This window comes from Homo sapiens, chromosome 10 (genome assembly GCF_000001405.40).
Source record: "Homo sapiens chromosome 10, GRCh38.p14 Primary Assembly".
In the NCBI taxonomy this organism is placed as follows: domain Eukaryota; kingdom Metazoa; phylum Chordata; class Mammalia; order Primates; family Hominidae; genus Homo; species Homo sapiens.
In genome coordinates this window covers 47,130,884-47,152,238 of record NC_000010.11, presented here as the reverse complement: position 1 = coordinate 47,152,238, position 21,355 = coordinate 47,130,884, and the positions used below count along the sequence as shown (strand labels likewise).

General features: G+C 46.9%; 1 annotated feature.

The window, feature by feature from the left end:
• Positions 13,869 to 15,068: an enhancer, noted in NCBI's record as "CDK7 strongly-dependent group 2 enhancer chr10:48600992-48602191 (GRCh37/hg19 assembly coordinates)". NCBI's record gives its function as "activates an origin of replication core promoter dependent on BRD2, BRD4, P300/CBP, MED14 and CDK7 cofactors, with strong dependence on CDK7, by STARR-seq in HCT116 cells {active_cell/tissue: HCT116}" and the evidence as "EXISTENCE:reporter gene assay evidence [ECO:0000049][PMID:35650434]".

Genomic DNA, 21,355 nt, shown 5'->3' with positions numbered 1-21,355 from the left:
GAGTGCCAAAATAAACCCCCTGTTAACAAACCTCCAGCTTTCCACTGATTTCTCGCACTTGCTCCCAGCTGTGAGTGAAGAATGGAAGTCAGATGCTTGGATTGCTTGCAGTGTGTATAAAGAATTCACATGTGAGTCTTTGGCTGCTGTACAAACAGGAAAGTGTCCTTTCATAAAAAGGATGTTCAGGCCAGGGCAGAGGGAACCCAGGGCCACGTCGTTATCTGTTGACTAGCTCCTGTCCGTTATACGTAATCAAGACTTAGCTAAATAACCACCATTAACTGAACTGAATATGAATAATTTTCAGTTCATCTAAGACTGATTAAGGGTAAATATTTTTCATAAGTCATCCAGAATAATATAATCCACTATTGCTCCAAAGTTGTCCCAAAGGGCTTCACTTTGGTTCAACTCAATACAAGTACATTTTGTTCATTTGAACAGATATTAAACAATACCTAATAGATGCCAGACAGTACGAGTATCCCAGTGCTCCTCCTCAGAGAGAATTGTCAAGAATCGGGACAGGCAAATGTAGCAAAATCTTTTGTTGCCAACTTTGATTCATTAATTAATTGAAATTTTAAACACTAAAAGTAGACAAAAAAAGAAAAAAAGAGAGGGAAGGGAAGCAGTCAGTTGTCACTGTCCTGCCCATGGCCCACAGGGGCTGCTATCTTGAGGGTGGCATTCAACACTCTCTGTGGTCCATTCCCCGGCCCTTGTGCAACTTCCCTGCTATCTCTCATCTCTGCCATCTTCTAACCCTCCAATTATACACAGTATGTGTCTTTGTGAATGTCACTTCTCCTGCCTAGAAGCTCACACATTTGTCTTCCTCAATGAAGCACCTTCAACACACAGGAAAATGTGACCTTTGGATAATCACTATTGCCTTCCCAGTACTTAGCACAGATGCTCAATAAATATTAGCTGAAGGAATGAATGTTCATATCATATATCCTGTGGGCTCTAGGGTCATTATGATATCCAAAAAGTAAACATCAACTATATAGGTTTTATATTCAAAATCAGCATACATCTGTAAGACTAAGAACATGCACAAGAAGAGAGCACTAGTGTGTCTTTATTATCAGCTACAATAGATGTCAAGTCCTTCCTCGCCTGCATGCTCTAGCAATTGTGTGAGGTGGATGTTTTGTCTCCATGGTACAAAGCAAGCTAAGGAAGTTCACTAACTTAATCAGAATTACCCAACAAAAAAATGGTGAGATGGAGAATTGATCCTACAGCCATCTGCCTGATTCAACCATACCACCCTGCATCTGCATCTGGTTGGCAGACCCAGTCATGCTCATTCCTCGGGGCCTGTCTGCCATGTGGGAGCAGATGGGACCCTACCATGCTCTCAGTGTTGGGGTCATTGCTTTCCTCATGGGGGCTCATACTGTGAGTGAGCATCACGTGGTGTACTTGATGCTGTGGCTGAGATGACCTTCCAGAAACCCATAAAAGGTGCTTGGCTGCCCACGTGTTTTCAGCCCTTCTCCAGTTTGAACAGTCAAGGGTGGTGGTAGGGGGGTCATATGTCATACACAGATGCTCTGCTGGCTCTCCTGGGTGACTTGGGGTGCTCTCACAGGGTCATCCTGAGGCCTCATGCAGACCTAAAAAATCTAGCCCAACCCAACCAGATGCCTACATTTCTCCCTTTGGTGGCTGCAGTAGCTGTCTCTCTACCGGTTCTCCTCCTGCTTCTCTGGCTGGTGCTTCTCAGTCTCCTTTGCTGATTGTTCTTGTTCTGCCCACAGCTCAATTGCTGGTCATCCCAAGGATTCTATGTACTCAATGCCATAGATGCTGGGGATACAAAAACAAATGGTACCAGGGAGACTGTTCATTTTCTTCAACAAGCTGTGGTCCTATAGAGGAAAAGGTAATGCAAGATTAGATTGTCCTAGAGACTCTAATGGGAACCGAATGTGTTCTGATTGGGACATAGAGGAGAGTCATAACTGGAGCCTGGAACCTTTTCTGTAGAGCGAGAAGAGAACAGTGGAGCTGAGTAATAAGAGATGAGCAGGTTTTAACAGTAGAGGGGACATGAGGAAAGCAGAGGGCAATTTATGCAGGTGCAGACAGCACTAGGAAATGTGTGGATGTCTGAACAGTTTGTCAGGTCAGGGGAACTGTGAGTAGCTCCCAGTGCCTAGAGCATTGGGTGCAAAATGGGTGTCGTGGATGTTGGAAGAAGGCTAGAGCAGTCAGCCTGGTCTGGATTTGGAAGATCCAAGGGTCCTAGCCTTTCCCTTGAAGTTAGAAGACATCCACTGAAGGAATTTTACAAGGGGGGAATCTGATCCTGTTTGTGTTTTAGGAATATTATTCATGATCTGAAGAGGACATGCCTATGGGTTTGGGTAAGAGAGAAAAGAGAAAGGCAAGATTGGAAGCAGGAAGATCCGTGAGGAGTTGTTGCTTCAGTGGAGGGTGAAGATGAGGACGCCTTGAACCAAGGAGGACCAGTGGAAACTGACGGGTGGCATTTTGGATGAGATGATCCAGAGGTAGAATCCACAGGGCTTCATCTGAAATTGAGTCAAAAAATGAAGTGAATGAGAAGAAGTAGCCCAGTTAACTACTCTGTCCACTTTATTTCTGGATTGGACATCCGAAAGAAGGGTATTGGGTTTTTTTGTTTTGTTTTGTTTTGCCATTTAAAAAAAAAAAACTCTTAGATATGCAGAAAAGTTTCAAATATAGTACAGAGCATTCCCATCTATCCCACACCCAGATTTGTCTGTTCCATCTAATGAACCAATATTGATGCATTATCTTTAACTCAAGTCTATACCTTGTTCAGATTTCCTTAGTTTTTGCCCAGTGTCCTTTTTCTGTTTCAGTATTGCATTCAGGATTCATGACCTTTAGTTGTCACATCTCTTTAGGCTCCTCTTGGCTGTGATGGTTTCTCAGACTTGAAAAGTACCAATCACACATTTGTTTATTTTTCCTTTCAGGTCTATCATTTTTTGCTTCATGTGTTATGGTGCTCTATTGTTTGAACATTAAACATTTAGGATTGCTATGTCTTCTTGGTTGATTTACTATATAATATCCCTCCTGTCTCTAGTAATTTTCTTAGCTTTGAAATCTATCTGATCTTAATATAGCTTCTCCTGCTTTGTTTAATGTTTGCCTGCTATATGGTTTCCGTCCTTTTATTTTCAGCCCATCTACAGTGTTATGTTGAAGGCAAGTTTTCTGTAAATAGCATATAGTTGAGTAGTGCTTTGTAATCCACTATGCCAGTATCTGTCTTTTAATTGATATATTTAGACCCATTTGTATTTCATGAAGTGGTTGATATTTTAGGCTTTACATCTGCCTTTTTAATTTTTTTGTTTTCTGTTTTGCATTTCTTAGTTTTATTTTGTTCCTGCCTACCTATGGGCTACTTAAGCAGTTTTAGAGTTATATTTTGATTATATTTAGTTTTTTGTGTATCATTTTGTGTAGCTTTTCTTAGTGGTTGCTCTAAGTATTACTAGATGTATATAGATATGTATACATATACACACATAACTTATCACAATGTACTTAATGTCATCCTACCAGTTTGCATAAAGTATAGAAAAAATACCTTCTTTTAATTTATCTCTCTTTTCTTAATATAGATGTCTTATATATTTTCTCTGCATACATTCAGAGCCACATCAGACAGTGATATAATTTTTGCTTTAATCGGCCAAAATAATTTAGAAAACTCAAGAGGAAAAGGAAAGTCAATTGTATTTGCTAACATTTTTGCTTATCATGTTCCTTCTTCCTTTCTTATGTTCCAAGATCCTTTCTTTTATTATTTTATTTCTGTTCAGAGAACTTTCTTCAACTAGTCTTTTAGGATATATCTGCTGTCAATAAATTCTCTATTTGTTTTTGTCTGAGAATATCTTTATTTCTCCTTCATTTCTGAAGGATATTTTCACTTCTGAAGTATATTATCACTTATATGTGGAATTCCAGGTTGAAAATTTTTTTCCTTCAACACTTGAAAAATGTAATGTCACTTCCTTCTGGTCTCAATGGTTTCTGATGAGAAATCCATGGTCATTCCAATTGTTTTTCCCCTGTATCTCAGGTGTTATCTCTCCTTGACTGCTTTCAATTTTCTTTGTCTTTGGTTTTCAAAAGGCTGACTATGATGTGCTTTGATATGGATTTCTATGGCTCATCCTGCTGAGGTCACTTAGCTTTAAAAATCTGTAGATTTGTGTCTTTTACCAAATTTGAGAAGTTTTGGGACATTCTATCTTTGAGTACTTTTCCAGCGCTATTCTTTTCCTCCTCTTCTTCTACAACTCCAACAACACAAATGTTAGATCTTTTGTTATAGTCCCACAGGTGCTTCAGGCTTTGCTATTTTTGCTTAGTCTATTTTCTCTCTGTTGTTCAAATTGGGCCTAGGCAGAGTCCTCAGGAGGCCCAACCATTAAACTGTGGGCAGAATAAGAAAAGCCATAGAGGAAACTGGGAAATAGCAGCCAGAAAAGCAGGAAGAGAACCAGTAGAGAGATGCTGCAGAAACTAAAAGGAAGATACTTCAAGAAAAGGGCAGTTGGCAGGGCTGGATACCAGAGAGGCCAGAGAGGTGAGAACTGAACAGAGCCTTTGGGATTTGACATGAAGCAGTCATTGTAAGGGCAAAAGATTGATTGCTATGACTTAAAGGCTGAACAAAATAAAAGGAGTTATTACTTCTATTTTACAGACTAGAAAACTGAGGTTTGGGAAGATTATCTAGGTAATGTATCCAATGTCATTCAGCTAGTAAAATGACTCAACAGGGACATAAATCCAGATCTTCCAAAGCCAAGGCCAGGCTTTTCCTCTATAGTGCTGGAAGAAAAGGAAAGAGTCAGTGATGAATCAGCCCATCCCTAGGGTGACCAGGGATCCAAGATAATTCCAGTTTGTGCCATTATTTTGATATACCTATTGGCATTGAGATACAGATAGAGAAACATAGATATCTGGATCTCCTTTTTTTTTTCTCTCTCTCTGTTCCTCTCTCTGTCTCTGTTTTTCTGTCTTTCTCTGTCTCTCTTCCACCTTCACTTCGCTCTCAAACTGCCCCAGGTTGAAGGATAAATTACATGGTCACACTGGTCACTACTCATCACCCACCTCCCAGTTTGACCTCTAGCAGTATATTGTCTGGACATCCCCATGCCTGTCTCACCGTTTATAAACCACCTCAAATTTAGTGGTGCAAAACAAAAGTCAATTTATTATAGTCATGGATGTTGTGGGTCAATAATTTGAATGACATGGAGGGGATGGTTTGTCTCTGCTCTCTGGCATCTGGGACTCAGCTGGAGGCTAGAATCTTCAGATGACTTCAGTCATCTCTCTGCCTGAGCTGAGAATACTGCAAGTCTGGACTTAGCCAGATGTCTGTTGACTGCCACTCTCTTGGGTGTGGACTCATGGCATGGCAGCTGAGTTGCAAGAGGAAGTATCCCACAAGAGAACAAACAAAGTCTCTTCTGACCCAACCGGAATCACGCAGCCTCACTTCCACTGCATTCTATTAGTTACAAGCGAGTGGCTACAGCCTGCCAAGATTCACAATGGAGGGGCCTGGCCTCCCCATCCTGTGGGGAGAGTGGCAAAGTCTCATTGCAGAAGAACATGTGGGAAGGAGATGCTGCTGGTGCAATCTTTGGAAAATGCACTCAGCCACAATGGCCCACTCCTTTCTGCTCCCAGACTGGAGCAGAAAATAAAGAGGGAGCCAAGGAGTCTGGCTAGCATGAACTGTAGACCAACCTCAAAAGGACCTTGCTGTCAGGTGTACAAGCATCTTAACAGCAAAACTATCATGGGGCAGGTCAGAAATGCAGTTATGTGAAGGCACCCAAAGCGAGCTTCCCCACCTGACTGCTCCAAATCTGCTCTGTAGTGCTGGAGCAATGAGCACACAGTGTCTGCTAAGGTTTGAATGTGTCCCCCAAAAGCATGTGTTGGGCACTTAATCCCCAATGCATCAGTGTTGGGAGGTGGGGCTTACTGCAAGGTATTTAGGCCATGAGAGCTGTGCCCTCATAAAAGGATTAATGCTGATTATAAAAAAGGCTTGATGCTGTGAATTTGATCTTTTGTTCTCTCTCACCCTCTCTTTTCCCTTCTGCCATGCTATGACAGAGCAAGAGGGCCCTCACAAGATGCCAGGCCATCAATCTTAGACTTCCCAGCCTCCAGAACCATGATCCAATAAATGTTTATTATATATTACCCAGTCTTGGGAATTCTGTTTTACAGCATAAAAAGGAATAAGATAGTGTCCCAGGGAGGACTCTTCTCTGGAAAGTGAATTCATTTCATGGAAAACATTTTAAAGCATATAAAGTTAACTTGCAATTTGGCAAACATGTAGCAAGTCACCTGATTAAAGCAGACACTTACTCAGTGTGGATAAGACAGTATTACACAGCAGGCTCTGTGGGCATTGCTCATTCAGGGACATCACCACTGCCTTGTGGGGGAGGAAATGGAAACTTTGTCACTCACCCAGGTATCATGCTAGGGATGGCAGAGCTGGACTGTGAACCAGGGCCGTCCATGCACAACCGTCACTCTTCTGGTTAACTCCTGCTGTTTCCCAGAAAAAAAAAAAAAAAACAGCTGTGTAGACTCGGGGGCCTGTGGGGCGGCAGTGGGTTTCTGGGTGTCTCCAACCCACATGTGTGTATGCTGGTGGCGGGGGCTTAGTGTGAATGTGCACACAGGTCCCATAGCCTTTCCTCATTTCAAAAGCCCCATCACACAATCAGCACATTCAAAGAGAAAACACATTTTGGGCTTCAGCAGGGACTTCAAAGGGCTTTACAAAGCTCTCTTACTTGGTTTATAGGTCTCCAAGGCTTCAAGTGTTTTTGGTTTTTTTGCACCAAGTGGTGAAGAATGTAATTAAATGTGAACATTAAAATGTCAGCTAGTAATTAACAAAGAAAAAGGGCCTGTGTTGCCTGCCAGGGGTCCTCCTCCATTAGGCAGGCAGGCCCAAGCCAGCAAGCGGGGCATGGCCAGCAGGAGCCCAGGCAAGACCTGGACCTCCCAACTACCACTCCAGCCCCAGAGGAGGGGATGTGAGAGCCCACAGCCCTGGGACTAAAAGATCACCACTTCTATTAGGGGATGATCATCCCCACATGTCTGCTCTGTGATGGAACCTGGGCTGGGCCTGGGGACACTGAGGCCCTGAATATGACCCCTGACACAGGCACCCAGACATACCAGAGCATCACCACGGCTTCATGAAAACCTCACTAGAACCTCATGAGGGCCTCACTAGGCCTCCCCAGGGCCTCACCAGGGCTGCATCAGGACCTCACTAAGGCCTCACCATGGCTGTACCAGGTCTCACTAGAGCCTCACCAGGGCTCATCACAGCCTCATCAGGGCCTCATCAGGGCCTCACCAGGTCTTCACCAGGTCTCACCAGAGCTTCACCAGGACCTCACCAGGGCCTCAGCTGGGCCTCGCCAGGGCCTGGCTTCTCTCCGGCTTCCCCCCTGCCATCCCTGAGTACTGTGCTGCAGCCCCCTGACTGTTCTCTGCCTCCCCAGGGCACACATGCCCTACCTGTTCAGAGACTTGTCCTGCAATTGTCCACGCACCTGGAATACCTCTCCTCACTCTTTACCTGAGCAACTCCCATGGGTTCTCAGGATTCAATTTCAAAGCAGCCGCTGGCGGATGTCTTCTCTGATTCGCTCTCAGTAAGTCCTCACTCCTTTTTCTCTAAAGGCACTTGCTTCCGTTCTTTCCCCCTCTGACCACAGTGTGTCATTAAATTTTTCGGTGTGTGTTTATTCTTCAGCCTAGCCCCATGTGGGTTCCTTAGGACAAGGACTGAATCTCATTGTCCCTGAGAGAGGGCCCAGTGCCCAGTACCAGTGTGTGCCTGACAAGTACATATAATAGTGAATGAGGGGCCTGGTCAGGGAGACCCCCATGCCTGGATGGTGGCAACACAGAGGGAAGAAGAACCCAGCTGAAGGCCCCTGGGGAGTTACTGAAGCACTCAGGACCCAACCAGTCTGTGGGTCCCTGGAGTTTTCCAAAAGGGATAGGAACCAATCCCGGACACTGACAGCCTTTCCTCTTCACCATGAGGATGATCCCCCTGCTTGTTGCCGTCCTCCAGAGCCTGAGGCCAATGGATGGAGCAAGAGGTGGGGGGACCCATGGCTATCTGTGACCAATGCAGGCCCTGCTGTTGTGTGAGCTCCACCCTGAGCGGGTGGTGGATTCAGGTTCCTGGGTAGCAGATGGCAGGCAGGAGGCTGTGCTCCATCTCATCTGTCTGTCCCTTCTGCACCCCCCCCACCCATAGACCACCTTCATTCAGGCTGGCCTCCCTTGGCTGGTGTGTGACTACAGCCTCCTTCCCTCCCCCAGCCCCAGGCCCCCCTGCCCTCTGGCTCTCCTCTGGAAGATCTCCCTATCCTTCCTGCAGCAGGCAATCTGGTGGAAGTCCCTTAGCAGCTCACACTCTGCCCTGCCCTGTAGTCTGAGCTCTTTCTCCCAACACTTCCCATGAAGACCACCAACTACTGGGTCCTGAACATGCCACACCTGTCCCCAGGCTTCCACACTTTCACCTGCACCTCTGCCCCCCATACTCCTCTATGCCCACCTGGAGAGCCCTTCATGCTTTAAGACAGAGCTTGATCCTTGAACACCCTCTTCAGGGACCTGCCTGAGCTGCCTCTGCTCTCCTGACAGAGCAGGCCGTGGGAGTGTAGGTCTTCCCTGCTGGCTTGGACAAATGGAGCTAAAGGGGCCGAAAGTAGGTCTGGCCCATCCAGGCACTTTGGTTTTGAGACCTGAGCACTAGATTGTGATTCAGACCCCACTTCAAGGAGGAGATGGGGCATAACTCAGTGGTTGTAACTCCCAGTGTCACAGCTGTGTGTGCTCTGTCTGCATTTCCAAGAGTGTGTGCAATCCCAGCCCAGCCGTAGCCCGAGGGCGTCCACTGCTCACCAGAACCCCGACCCAGAAGGCCTCACTAAGCAGCCTTCTGCCCCGCTTTCTGTTCCTGACACGAATCAGGGAGCCTCAGGCCTTCTCTGGATGCCGTGAATCCAGAATGTAACCAGAATGAAGAACAGAGAGGCGTGGACTCTCTGTCCTCGCCACTTCACATGATAGGTGTAATACACAAAAGCTGCTCTTCTAGGGTGACAGAGAGCCACAGAATCTCAGTGCTAAGTAAGCCACCATGGACTCGATATTCCAGACTCAGCCCCTTCCTGGGCTACAGAGGCTCCTGCCTCTTCTAGTAGGGAAAGGAGGCAGATATGAGTTCAGGGAAAGGCCTTCTCTCAAAATAAAAAAGTGCTGCTTTGGCAAAGGCCCTGAAAGAGTGGCCTGTGGTGTGCACACACATCGACACATGCTAGAGCTTGCATTAGTCCATTATGGAACTGCTATACAGAAATACCTGAGACTGGGTAATTTATAAAGAAAAGAAGTTTAATTTGCTCCTGGTTCTGCAGGCCATACGGGAAGCATAGTGGCTTCTGCTTCTGGGGAGTCCTCAGGAAACTTACAATCATGGCGGAAGGCAGAGAAGAAGCAGGTATCTCACATGGCAGAAGCAGGAGCGAGAAACAGGTGGGAGATGCCACACACTTTGAAACACCCAGATCTGGTGAGAACTCTATTAGGAGAACAGCACCAAGGGGACAGTGCTAAACCATTTGTGAAGGATCCACCTCCGTGATCCAGACGCCTCCCACCAGGCCCCACCTCCAACATTGGGGATTACAATTAGACATGAGATTTGGTTGGAGGACACAGATCCAAATCATATCAGAGCTATTTTCTCACCAGGAAGACCAAGTACCTGAAGGAGAGAGGAAGCCCTGGGAAGAGGAGAGGGGAGAGGAACTGAGGCACACAGTGCATGCAGGAAGGCCCTGGGGTGGGTGGGAGCATGGGGTGAGGACATGGTGGGGAGGAGGCTTGGGAGACAGAGGGACTTGGTGGGGAGGAGGCAGGATAGGAGAACAGGGCTGTCCACATGTGGACTCTGGCCAGGGGGAGGGATTTTCTCCATCCCACAAGCAAGAATAAACCCAGACGTAGTTGAGCAATGGACAGCCCCCTCAGATGCAAGCATGGCTGCCGAATGGGAAGGGGATGTGGGCCCAAGACGGGATGGATTTGGGCAAGATGGAGGTGGTGAACACAAAGTGAGGTGAGTGGGTTTGGAGGACGTAGCAGGTGGTGAAATTGTGAGTCTGGAATGGGTTGGGCACAAGATGCGGTACAGCAAGATGCCAGGGAAGCCCCTGGTCCCTGACCTCTGCACCTGCTCATGGATGTTGGTGCCTCTGTGGACCTCAGATGAGCTGCTTTTCAGCCTGGGCCCATCCCCCATCAGCAGTAAAGACTCCTAAACCCTGATGACAGAGAATCTCTGCCATCTCTCCGTTCCCTCCTTGTCTACTTCCTCCATCTCCAGGGCACCAACCACCTGGCCTCCCACCTCCTGCCAGTCCATTCTCCCAGAGCAGCCCTTTGGGGAGTCATCACTGTCTCACTTGGCAAATGAGGAAACTGAGGTTTAGCGAGGTTTGTGGCCTCAGTTGAGTCTGGGCAGCAACAACTCGGCAGCTCCTGCCCCATGGCATGTGCCTGACGACGCATGGAGGACCCCCATGAAAACAAGTCCTTCTTGCTCCTGACACTGAAGATACAGGTGCAGACCCCCGAGCCTGCTGAGCAGTGGCTTGGTCACTTATTGGCCCAATTCTGGCAGCTAAGAGTGGCCCTTTGGCCCTCAGACATGCTTAGTGAGTCAGGCTGAGTAGCTGGGGATCAAGTGCCCAGACCACCAGGGCAATCTGGGATTCTCATTGGTTGAGAATTGAAAAGGGAATTATTATTTGTGGGGTATTGTTTAGCAACTATGCCCTCTTCCAAGGCACTGTCAGAGTCATACAGTTTCACAGCTCTCCTGTTCTATGCGAAGTCTGCCTTCTTTGCCTGCCCTGTCTTTCGTGTCTTGACATCGCAAAGATAAAACTGTCTAGCAAGTGCAGATGGCCAGCAGCTAACCTCAGCAGGGCCTCCCAAATTCCTGGTGATGGAAGCTGATGTGCAGCTTGGCTCTCACACTGCAGGTAAAATGTCCCATAGCACTTAACCCTCACTCCCTTCTGTTTTATTATCACATTATTCACCTGAGATGGCTTTGAATCATGTGTACTTCAACGGCTTCCTGCATCTGGAGAGTGTCAGGGGAGAATTTCAAACATGAAATATGTCAGGTTTAAAATGCGCCACATCCTTGCATCTTCAAACCCTCCCACAGCTCATGGCATCCTGCCCTGAAAGGCCTTTTCCCAAGTCTTCCAGGCTGGGGCTCCCTCTGCTCTGACTCCAGGTTCCAGGAGAGGAAGGGATTGCAGAGCCTGAGAGGACAAGCCACTCGATGGCCAATGCATAGATGCTAGAAGCCAACATTTGAGTTCGAGCCCACTCATGGCTCTGTGCCTCAGTTGCCTCATCTGTAAAATGGAGATAACCACACTGCCGGCCTCACAGGAACACAGTGAGGTGAACCAAGTTAATGTATGTAGGGCACCAGGAGCAGAGCCTGGCCTGTGCTCAAATCAAATCCACACATGAGTTGCTATTGTCACAGACATTTCTCAAGTACTTGCTAGGTGTCAAGCCCTGTGTAATTTACTTTCCGTTCTTATCCTGGCTGGAGACTCACAAGTCTCACTAGGGGATAGGAGGCAGGAAAAACAGGCAGACGCCAGGGTAGTATCTGGCCCTGCTCTCCCCAGTGGGAAATGTTTCTGGGTAGGACACAGGAAAGAAAGGCTGCAGATCCTTGCTCTCAGTTTTTGCCAGTGAGAGGTGAGGCCAGCTGGACTTCCTGGGTCCAGTGGGGACTTGGGGAACTTTCCCGTCTTACAAGAGGATTGTAAAACGCACCAATCAGGAACTTTCCTGTCTTACAAGAGGATTGTAAAACGCACCAATGAGTGCTCTGTAAAATGCACCAATCAGCAGGATTCTAAAAGTAGCCAATCATGGGGAGGATTGAAAAAAGGGCACTCTGATAGGACATAAATGAAACATGGGAGGGGACAATAAGGGAATAAAAGCTGGCCACCCCCCAGCCAGCAGAGGCAACTGTTGGGGTCCCCTTCCAGGCTGTGGGAACCTTGTTTTAGATCTTCACAATAAACCTTGCTACTGCTCACTCTTTGGGTCCACGCCATGTTTAAGAGCTGTGACACGGGCAAGGTCTGCAGGTCTGCGGCTTCATTTTTTTTTTTTTTTTTTTTTTAGATGGAGTCTTGCTCTTGTCACCCAGGCAGGAGTGGTGCAGTGGTGTGATCTCGGCTCACTGCAACTTCTGCTTCCTGGGTTCAAGCGATTCTCCTGCCTCAGCCTTCTGAGTAGCTGGGGTTACAGGCACCTACCATGACGCCTGGCTAATTTTTGTATTTTTAGTAGAGACGGGGTTTCGCCATGTTGGACAGGCTGGTCTCGAACTCCTGGCCTCATGATCCGCCCGCCTCGGCCTCCCAAAGTGCTGTGATTATAGATGTGAGCCACTGCGCCTAGCCCGCGGCTTCATTCTTGAAGTCAGCGAGATCACGAACCTACTGGCAGGAACCAACTCCGGACACACCTGGGTCACAGAGACTCCTTTTACCGAGGGCCTGAGGCGGGCTGTCACTTACCCGCAGCTACACACGCTAGATCCCAGGCCTCATTTCCTCCTGCTGGGCCTGTTCAGCTGTAAACGCCATCCCAGTGTCTGGCGTCTGCATCTGACCATACCTCTTCCTGGTCTTTATTGCCTTTTTCTCTTTCATTGAAGTCAAGGGCACAGAAAAGTGCTTGACGTGCCCTGCAGAGGCCCTGGGTGCCCTCTGACCACAAACATCATGACCCAGAAATTCTGCTAACTCAGAAACACAGTTGCAGACTTTCTCCTGAGCTTAGGTAATAATTGCACTTGTATTTTCTCTTTCTTTCTCTCTCTCTTTTTATTTATTTAGTTATTTATTTGTTGGGTCAGGAATAGCAATATGTCAACCCAATTTTTTTTTAAATCCCTGAGTTTTTATTATAAGCTACAGCAGTGTGGGGTGGGAGAGGCTGTTGTGTTACTCAAACTTGCATTACAGAATAAACCTTCCTATGAAACATGGTAGGCTGTTTTTGGAACTCAAGCAGCTCATGAGAGAGTTGCTTTAGGAGCTGTGTTGTTTGTTTTGATGGCCTCCTTGGAAGGGCACTTCAGTGGGGCTTGGGTCCTGGACGCAAGAGGCTGTGAGCAGGCAGCTTGGGATCACTGAGTCCCAGCCCCCCTCTGTCTCCAGGAGAGAAGTGCCCTGATCAGGGGCATGAGGAGACAGTCACTGAGCAATTGTGCTTGAACTAGCTGGACAAACATGGAAGGAAGGGAGTCATATATATACAACATACCCCCATTGTGCCTGGTCTCTTCTAAGTACCTTTATCATCATCCTCACGGCTCTGATTTTCTTCATCTAATTAAAGCACAAAGGTATCATTTACTTGTGAAAGGCACCTACTTAGCAGATTGAAGAACTTGAATTCAAACCTAGATTTTTCCAAAAAAAAAAAACTATGCCCTCATAAAGAGAGAGCCACTGGTTGGTGGGGGCGGGTGGGGGTGGTGGAGCGAAGAAGCTAAGTAAAACATTTTTTTTCTGGATACGTGAGGGAACAAACCAAGTGTGGTCATGGGGCTGGGGGAGGTGTCAGCTTCGGACATCCTTAGCTCCTCTTCCAGAAGGGCCAAGGCTGGGGATTTTGGGGAGAGACACAGGAGAGGTGATGGGGAAGGAAGGAGAATCAGGGCTACTACCCTGCTGTCCCCTGGAACCCGGGTGGCCTGGCGGGGCCAAGAGGAGAAGTGGTCACCTGCCTGTTCTCGCACCTGATTCCCTGGTCATGGGGCAGATTCCAGGAGAAGCCCCGTATTAGTGGATGCTGACTTCACGGCTTCCCAGATCCCAGATCCCCAGCCTTCCATGAAGATCTTACCTCAAGAGACTGTGCGGTTCTCTGAAGAAGTCAGAGGAATTAGTTTCTTGGCCTTTCATCTCACATCTTGGAGAATCTCTAAGCCCACTTGAAATCACAGGTAATGGGGAAGGGCAGAGCACTTGGCATCTGCAAGAGCTCCCAGGAGGCGCTTGAAGTGACACTCTCCGTGGCTCCATGGGCTCCTGTGCTTGCTCCCAGGTGTCCCAAGGAAATCAGAGAGGAGCTAGTTCCTTTTTGAGGTTGAGGTCCAGGCTGTCAGACACACCCAGGTCTTGGAAATTTTTAAGCAAATCCTGTAGACCTGACTGCAACTATCCCCACAGAAATTGCGCAGGGACAGACATTTGCTCTCATAAATGCCGCTGTCAGCCCGAATGAAGCTCCCAGCAGTGCCTGACCTAAGATCAGTGTCTGTAGCAATACTAAACATCCATGAGTCAACCCTTAAGCCTTCAGTCTCCTCTGAATCATTCTCTTCTGGGCCCCCCAAAATGTCTGAGATTCCTTGGGACTGTCTGTCTTGAAAGAGGTCTTTGTTCCAAGATATGAGAATCAATAAAATAATAGGACTAAGGAGTGGGAGGATGCTTATCAAGTGTAAATAGTGTGCATACGTGGCCAGGAACCCTACAGCTAAGGAGTCAGGCTGGACCAAGGGTGAGGTGGGGTCTGCTGGCATTCTGCTCATGTTGCCCAGAGTTTTGGAGGTTAGTTAGCTTTTGTGGGAATATAGAATCTAAGGAATTAGTCTCACTGACTTTTTATTGTAATGAAAGGGCCTGAATTGGGGGCTGAATCACTTCCCTGGGAAGATAAGCGAAGCCACTGGAAAGAACCTCAGGTCTCGGACGGGAGCAGTGAAGAAACAGACAAAAAGAGAGTCAACTTCTAGTCCTCTCTTTACCCCTGCCAGAGCCCTGAACCATGGGACCAGGGGGTGAGGGTCCTGGAATGTTCAGTGACTCCAGAAGCCAGTTAACCACAGAGAATCATGCGAAAAACTTCAGCCACCTAATGTAGCTCCACTCTGTGTCCGCCTTGAGTGCAAGGGGCTTGGGGAACGGGGCTGCTAAGTGAAGCAGTGTCACTTCCAGGCCTTGGCAATCTCATTGCAGCTGGAGTCCATGGAAGCTGCAGTGCTGAGGCCAGCAGACAGCCTGCCAAGCCTGAGATGCCTGATGGGCAATAACAAGAAAGGGGAGCTCCAGCCTGGCTTGGTGTTGAGTCTCTGGGAAGAAAACCAAACAAATCCAGGGTGGGTTAGCTTTCTCCTGTGGTTGTACTCTCTCTCCTGCAGTCAGGAGAAAGGAAAGAAAGAAAAAGAGAGAAAGAGAGAAATAGACAAGGAAAGAAAGAGAAAAAGAAGGAAGGGAAGGAAGGAAGGAGAACAATGAAAGAAAGAGAGAGATAAAGAAAGAGAAAGGAAAGAAAAGAGGCAGGAACTAGGAGGCCTTGACACTTGTGACTGAGCCCTGCAGAAGGGTCAGTGATGAGGACCTCAGAAAGTAAAGACCTCACCTGGACCCTGAAGCTCACTTCCAGGTGTTCTGCTGTGAAGCCAGGACTGGACACCAGAGCATCCACTATGGCAAGGGCTCTACTCTCCAGGCCACCTGAAGGTATCAGGGGTTTCTGACCTGGAGACGAGCAAACACAGTGGGAGGTGCTGCTGCCTGGTGATATCTGAGGTGCTGATGTGGAGGGAGGACAGGCTTCTTCCTTATGACACCCAGAGCTCAAGTTGGGGCCCACAGGGACCATTCAAAAGGAACTCAAGTTCAGTGTAATCTGAGTGCATCAACTGGGATTTACCAAGAGAAGCAGACCCAGTAAGAGATAGATGATTTGTTGTTGGGCATTGAGCTAACGTCGTCCTGGGGGTGGTTTTGTTAAGTGGTCTCTGCAAGGTTATGGTCCCCACAGCTGATGCTGGAGATTGAAGTCTATGAAGTAGGCCATCAGGAAGGGAAGAGCGTGAGCAAGTTGGAACCCGCAAGCAGGAGGGATGGCGGAGACCATGCCCATGCTTGTTGCCTCTGACCATGGTGACAAGGGTGTCCTGCAGAAGCAGGGACTCTCCCTCACAGGGTTAAACACATGCACCTGGGCCAGGAGGCAGAGAAGGTGGCCTGGCTGTGGCTTCATGCCACTGGGGTGAATCGCCAGACCAGCAACAATAGGTGTGTGCTGCTATTTCCCCATCGACTTTCCAATCTCCCAAGACTTTTCTGTGTGGCTGACTCTAACCATAAACAGCTGATGGTGAGCACCAGGAAACGTAGTCCTGGCCAGCCAACCTGATATCAGAAGACCAGCACAGCAAGGAAGGCCTGTCTCACATTCAGAGCTGCCCTGAGTGGGATGGGCTGTTCTGGGGGAAGGCTGTCCCCTCAGTAGCTCCACGCAAGCAGCAGCTGCACAGCTACCCAGTGGGGATGCTGTGCTTTGGCTATGCAACCATGGTGGGAGGGGGCCTTTCCTTCATCTGGCCTGGAACTCACCGTAAATGTCACTCCTTTGGGGTGGCCCACTGTGAAATGAAATTGCCCTCATAAATGCTGCCCTGAAGAGGTCTCTGGGTGTGGGACTGAGAAGAGGCTCTAGGAATGGACAGTCAGGGAGAGCAGAGGGTCTCTGCCAGCCCTCACCATAAGCATGGGCCTGGTAGAGTGGATCATGCAGCCCAGGTCCTAGCCCCGATGTGTGGGTATAGCAGCAGCTCTGGGCACCCAGGATGGCAGCCTGAGTGCAGGCCTTAGAATCCAGGCTCGACTCACCACCCCAGTGGGTAGGTCAGCTGGCTCCATCCTCTCCCCTCCCCAGGACCAGCTGACCATAACTCAGCAGGTTGGGTGCTGGCCAGTCCCGGAGCCTCACTCCTAGGTGGGAAGTACTGAGAAGTCCATAGCTGTTGGAAAAAAGGCCTCAAAAAACCCACAGCAGGAACCCCAGAAAGGGGCTCTACTAGTGAGGACATCAAGGAAACTGTGGAAATTACTTACGCATTTCTCAAAAATTCAAATATGGCACTAGGCCACCTCTATGCACAATAAAAAGATGGTCAGCCAAACTGGCCCTCACCTGGTTCTGCTACTTCCCCACTTCTGCTGCTTCCCCATTGCAGGAAGATGGCAGCTCTATAAACCTCAGTTTCTCCATCTGCCAATCAGGAAAAAAGGCTAATGGTCAGTGCCCCTTACAGTACTGACTACATAATATGCTATGCACAGCCTAGTGCAAAATCAAAATGTGGGCCCTCTGCTCAAAAGTTAAGAATTTCAAAACCACAATAACAGCATGTTACACCAAGCACAGGGCTCTTCTAAGCATAGAGCACAGTAGGGCTGCACAAGGAACGCCATGTGTGAGGCAGGCCCTGCCAACACACTCTCTGGTGCCTCTACCGTGTTTCAAAAGCTTGTGTATGTATTTATCATGAGAATGGAGGTATATATCCTGCAGCTCATGCTGTACCTTAGACATGCCAGTATGGGTCGGGATATATTTAGTCTCTGGAAGAATTTTGATTCAAGATTCCTGGGTGACCAAGGACCCAAGTTGGAGGCACCCTAGTTGGGGCCTCGACTTATGAAACTAAAATCTTATTTAAATAAAATGTCCTTCAAATGCAAGCTATTATTACAAAAGATCCTTTTTAAAAACTGTGAACATAAGACCACAGAGTTGCTAAATGTCCACAGAATATGCATATCCTGAAAAGGGAACATTTGTGAACTCAATGGGGATCAGCAGACTCTGGCCAGTGGGGCCACGGGCATACTCCCCAGCCTCCACTTGGGGCTGTAAACCGAAAATAAAATTCAAAGACCCTCCCACTCCTGCAACTATCTGAATGTACTTCCTCCTTCGCCAAGGCACTCTAAAATGTAACTTTAAAGACTGGTTCAGGCCATGACTGGAAGTGGGGATTGTATATGCCTCATTTTAAACCTCCCCCAGCATTAACATCAACACAGGCCTTAAGCCTAATAAGAAACAGTTACTGTCTTCTCTCTAAAGCCTGCTACTTGGAGGCTTCATCTGCATAAAACCCACGTCTCCACAACCTCTTGGCGTAACCCAGACATTTCCTTCCTATTGATGATGACTCTTTCAACAAATTGCCAATCAGAATATGTTGAAATCTACATATGACCTGGAAACCCCTGCTTCGAGTTGTCCTGCCTTTCCAGATGGAACCAATGTAAATCTTACATGTATTGATTAATGTATTATTTCTCCCTAAAATGTATAAAAGCAAGCTGCACCCTACCACCTTGGGCACATGTCATCAAGACCGCCTAAGCCTGTGTCGTGGGCGCGTCCTTAACCTTGGCAACGTAAACTTTCTAAATGCACTGAGACCTGTCTCAGATATTTGGGGCTCACATGGCCTCCACTCTTGCCCTTGGCCTCATCTATGCCATGCCTTGCTCCAGTTCTACCAAATCGCAGGGGCTTCCCTGAAGACTGTGCATTGCCTCCTATCTCTGGGCCTATGCACATGCTGTTCCCCTGCCTGGAATGCCCTCGCCATTCGGAAACAGCACCCAAAACACCACTGTTTCCCTTCGCAATTCAACTCCCACATCTCCTTTGGGAAGCTTCCTGGATTTCCTGGGAATGGTTGTAAATAATAATAATAAATATATGACATTTATTCAGTATCGATTATGTTTTAGTCACTATTATAAGTAATTTACATGTATTAACTCATCTATACTTCACAGAAACCCTCAGATAAATATACTATATCCTATCATTTTATTTAATATTAATTCCCATTTTACTGCTGCTGACAAGACCCAAAGAAGTATAGCAGCTTAGCCAAGCTCACACTTCCAGGCAGTCTTGCTCCAGAATGTGTGTTCTTGCCTGCTCCACAATTCTGCCACTCTCAGCTAGTTGCTCTTTGTATCTCATATTTACCTCCTCCGTGCACATATCCCATTGGATTGTGACCATTTGCTTATCTGGCTTTTTTCTTGAGTGCAGGGACTTTGTTCTATTCACTATTGTCTTCCTGTACCTATCAGAATGACTGATACTAAAAGGTTTTCAACGAGTATTAACAAAACGGAAGAGCTTCCACCCAAATGCTGATGCATCGCTTTCCCACATCCAGGCCTCCTCCAAGCTGTGGCAGACTGCAGACCATCAGCTGGCCCATCGCGCTTGAGCAAGAGACAAGGCCAAGTCCCCAGCGTTCTCTGCTGGCCTCCTTCTAAACCAGACACCGGACACAGATTCTTGGAGCCCCCACCGTTTGGTTTTAACAGGACTGTGGCTTGCCCTCAAAGCCTTCTCATGGTGATCAGACCTAGGTAGATGTCCCTGCCCCGTGAGCTGAGCAGGACTTTTCTGAATCCAGAGAGAGATTTGTGCCTATGAGAGAACATGCCAGGGAGTATGCTGCCTCCAAAGATCGGGACATGCACCTGCTGTGAAGGCAGTTCTTGTGGGTGCGGTCTAGGAGTCTCCTCTTGCACTCCTGCTTCTTGGCCTGTAAAATCAAACTTTCCTTCAAGGCCTTACTCAAACCTCCTTCTCCTGTAACAGTCAGATTCCTAGTCAGCTTCCTTGATTCCTTTTCCACCTGCCTCCTCACATTGTGAGGCCATGGTTCTCAGCTGTGCTGAAGTAAATTATGAGGTCACTTATAAGTGAGGCCTTACAAGTGACCATAACCTTGCTTGATTTACAAACATAAGCAAAGCTTAACTTGAGCTATTTCTTGTAAATGCCTATTTTAAAGAAAACTGAGGCCAGGCATGGTGGCTTATGCCTGAAATCCCAGTGCCTTGGAAAGCCAAGGTGGGAGGATCACTTGAGGCCAGGAGTTCAAGACCAGCATGGACAACAAAGCAAGACCCCATTCCTACAAAAAAAAAAAAAAAAAAAAAAAAAAGAGAAAGAAGAAGAAGAAAGAAAAGAAAGAAAAATGAAACTTAAGGATAATCAATCAGAACTGTCAACTCACTGACAATTATATAATGAGAAACTTTCCAACAGGATAAATCAAATAAGGCAACTCTATAACTGTAGCATATCAACTTGTATGTATATAACTTGTATGTATATAAGTGTAACAAATCAAACATTTCCTTTGCTTTACTTCTTCATTCACCATTTAAAAAAGCCTTTCCCTTGCATCTCCTCAGTGCAGCCTGAAACCACCTTTGGATTAGTACTTCCAAATTCATGAATTGCTGCTTGCTCCATTAAACTCTTTAAAATTATACCATGCTGCAGTTTACCTTTTAACAGCCCCATTCCCATTAGAAACTCCTTAGGAGTATTTTATAAATACTGATGTCCATGTCTCACCCTAGACAAGCTCATTCAGACTGACATTTTGTTAAAGCCCCAAGGTGATGCCAACATGAAGACAGGGTTGAGGACCTCTGTTCTGGAGCGACCTATGCTAGGACATCCTTGTACTGACCACCCCTGCCCTATGAGGGAATTAACTGCCTTGTTACTAAGTGCACAAAAGAAGTGCTCAAGAAATGGTATTGAAATGATAGTGATTAGAATTATGAATGCTCAGTTTCTCCTTATTGATAAATCCTTTCATATTTGAGAAGCTTTAATGCATGGGAAAATAATAGTCTTACAATTTGTACTTTGATAATGTCCAGTTTATTCATTGTATAAAGATATCAAATAGCATTTCTTTGAACATTAAATAAGCATCCCTCCAAGTATTCAGTTCACACTACAAATACATCATTTAACAACTTAAATTTCCCTAGGCATTCAAATATGGCAATTATAAATATTTTGTATCATCAAATTAAAATCAAAAGTTCAATACAACAGATTTTTTGAAGGAAAACTTTGTTTTTTCTTTTGTTTGTTTGTTTTGTTTTTGAGACAGAGTCTCGCTCTGTCGCCCAGGCTGGAGTGCAGTGGGACAATCTCGGCTCACTGCAACCTCTGCCTTCCGGGTTCAAGCGATTCTTCTGCCTCAGCCTCCCAAGTAGCTGGGACTACAGGCCTGTACCACTATGCCTGGCTAATTTTTGTATTTTTAATAGAGACGGGGGTTTCACCGTGTTAGCCAGGATGGTCTCGATCAATCTCTTGACCTCGTGATCTGCCCGCCTTGGCCTCCCAAAGTGCTGGGATTACAGGCGTGAGTCACTACGCCCAGCCTGGAAATCTTAAAATAAAAAAAAAATCTTACAAAATATTACAGTGGTTACAAATTGATGAATGGGCTTGTGCAAAAGGACCCAGTTAGAAAAAGGTTAACCCAAGGATTTCA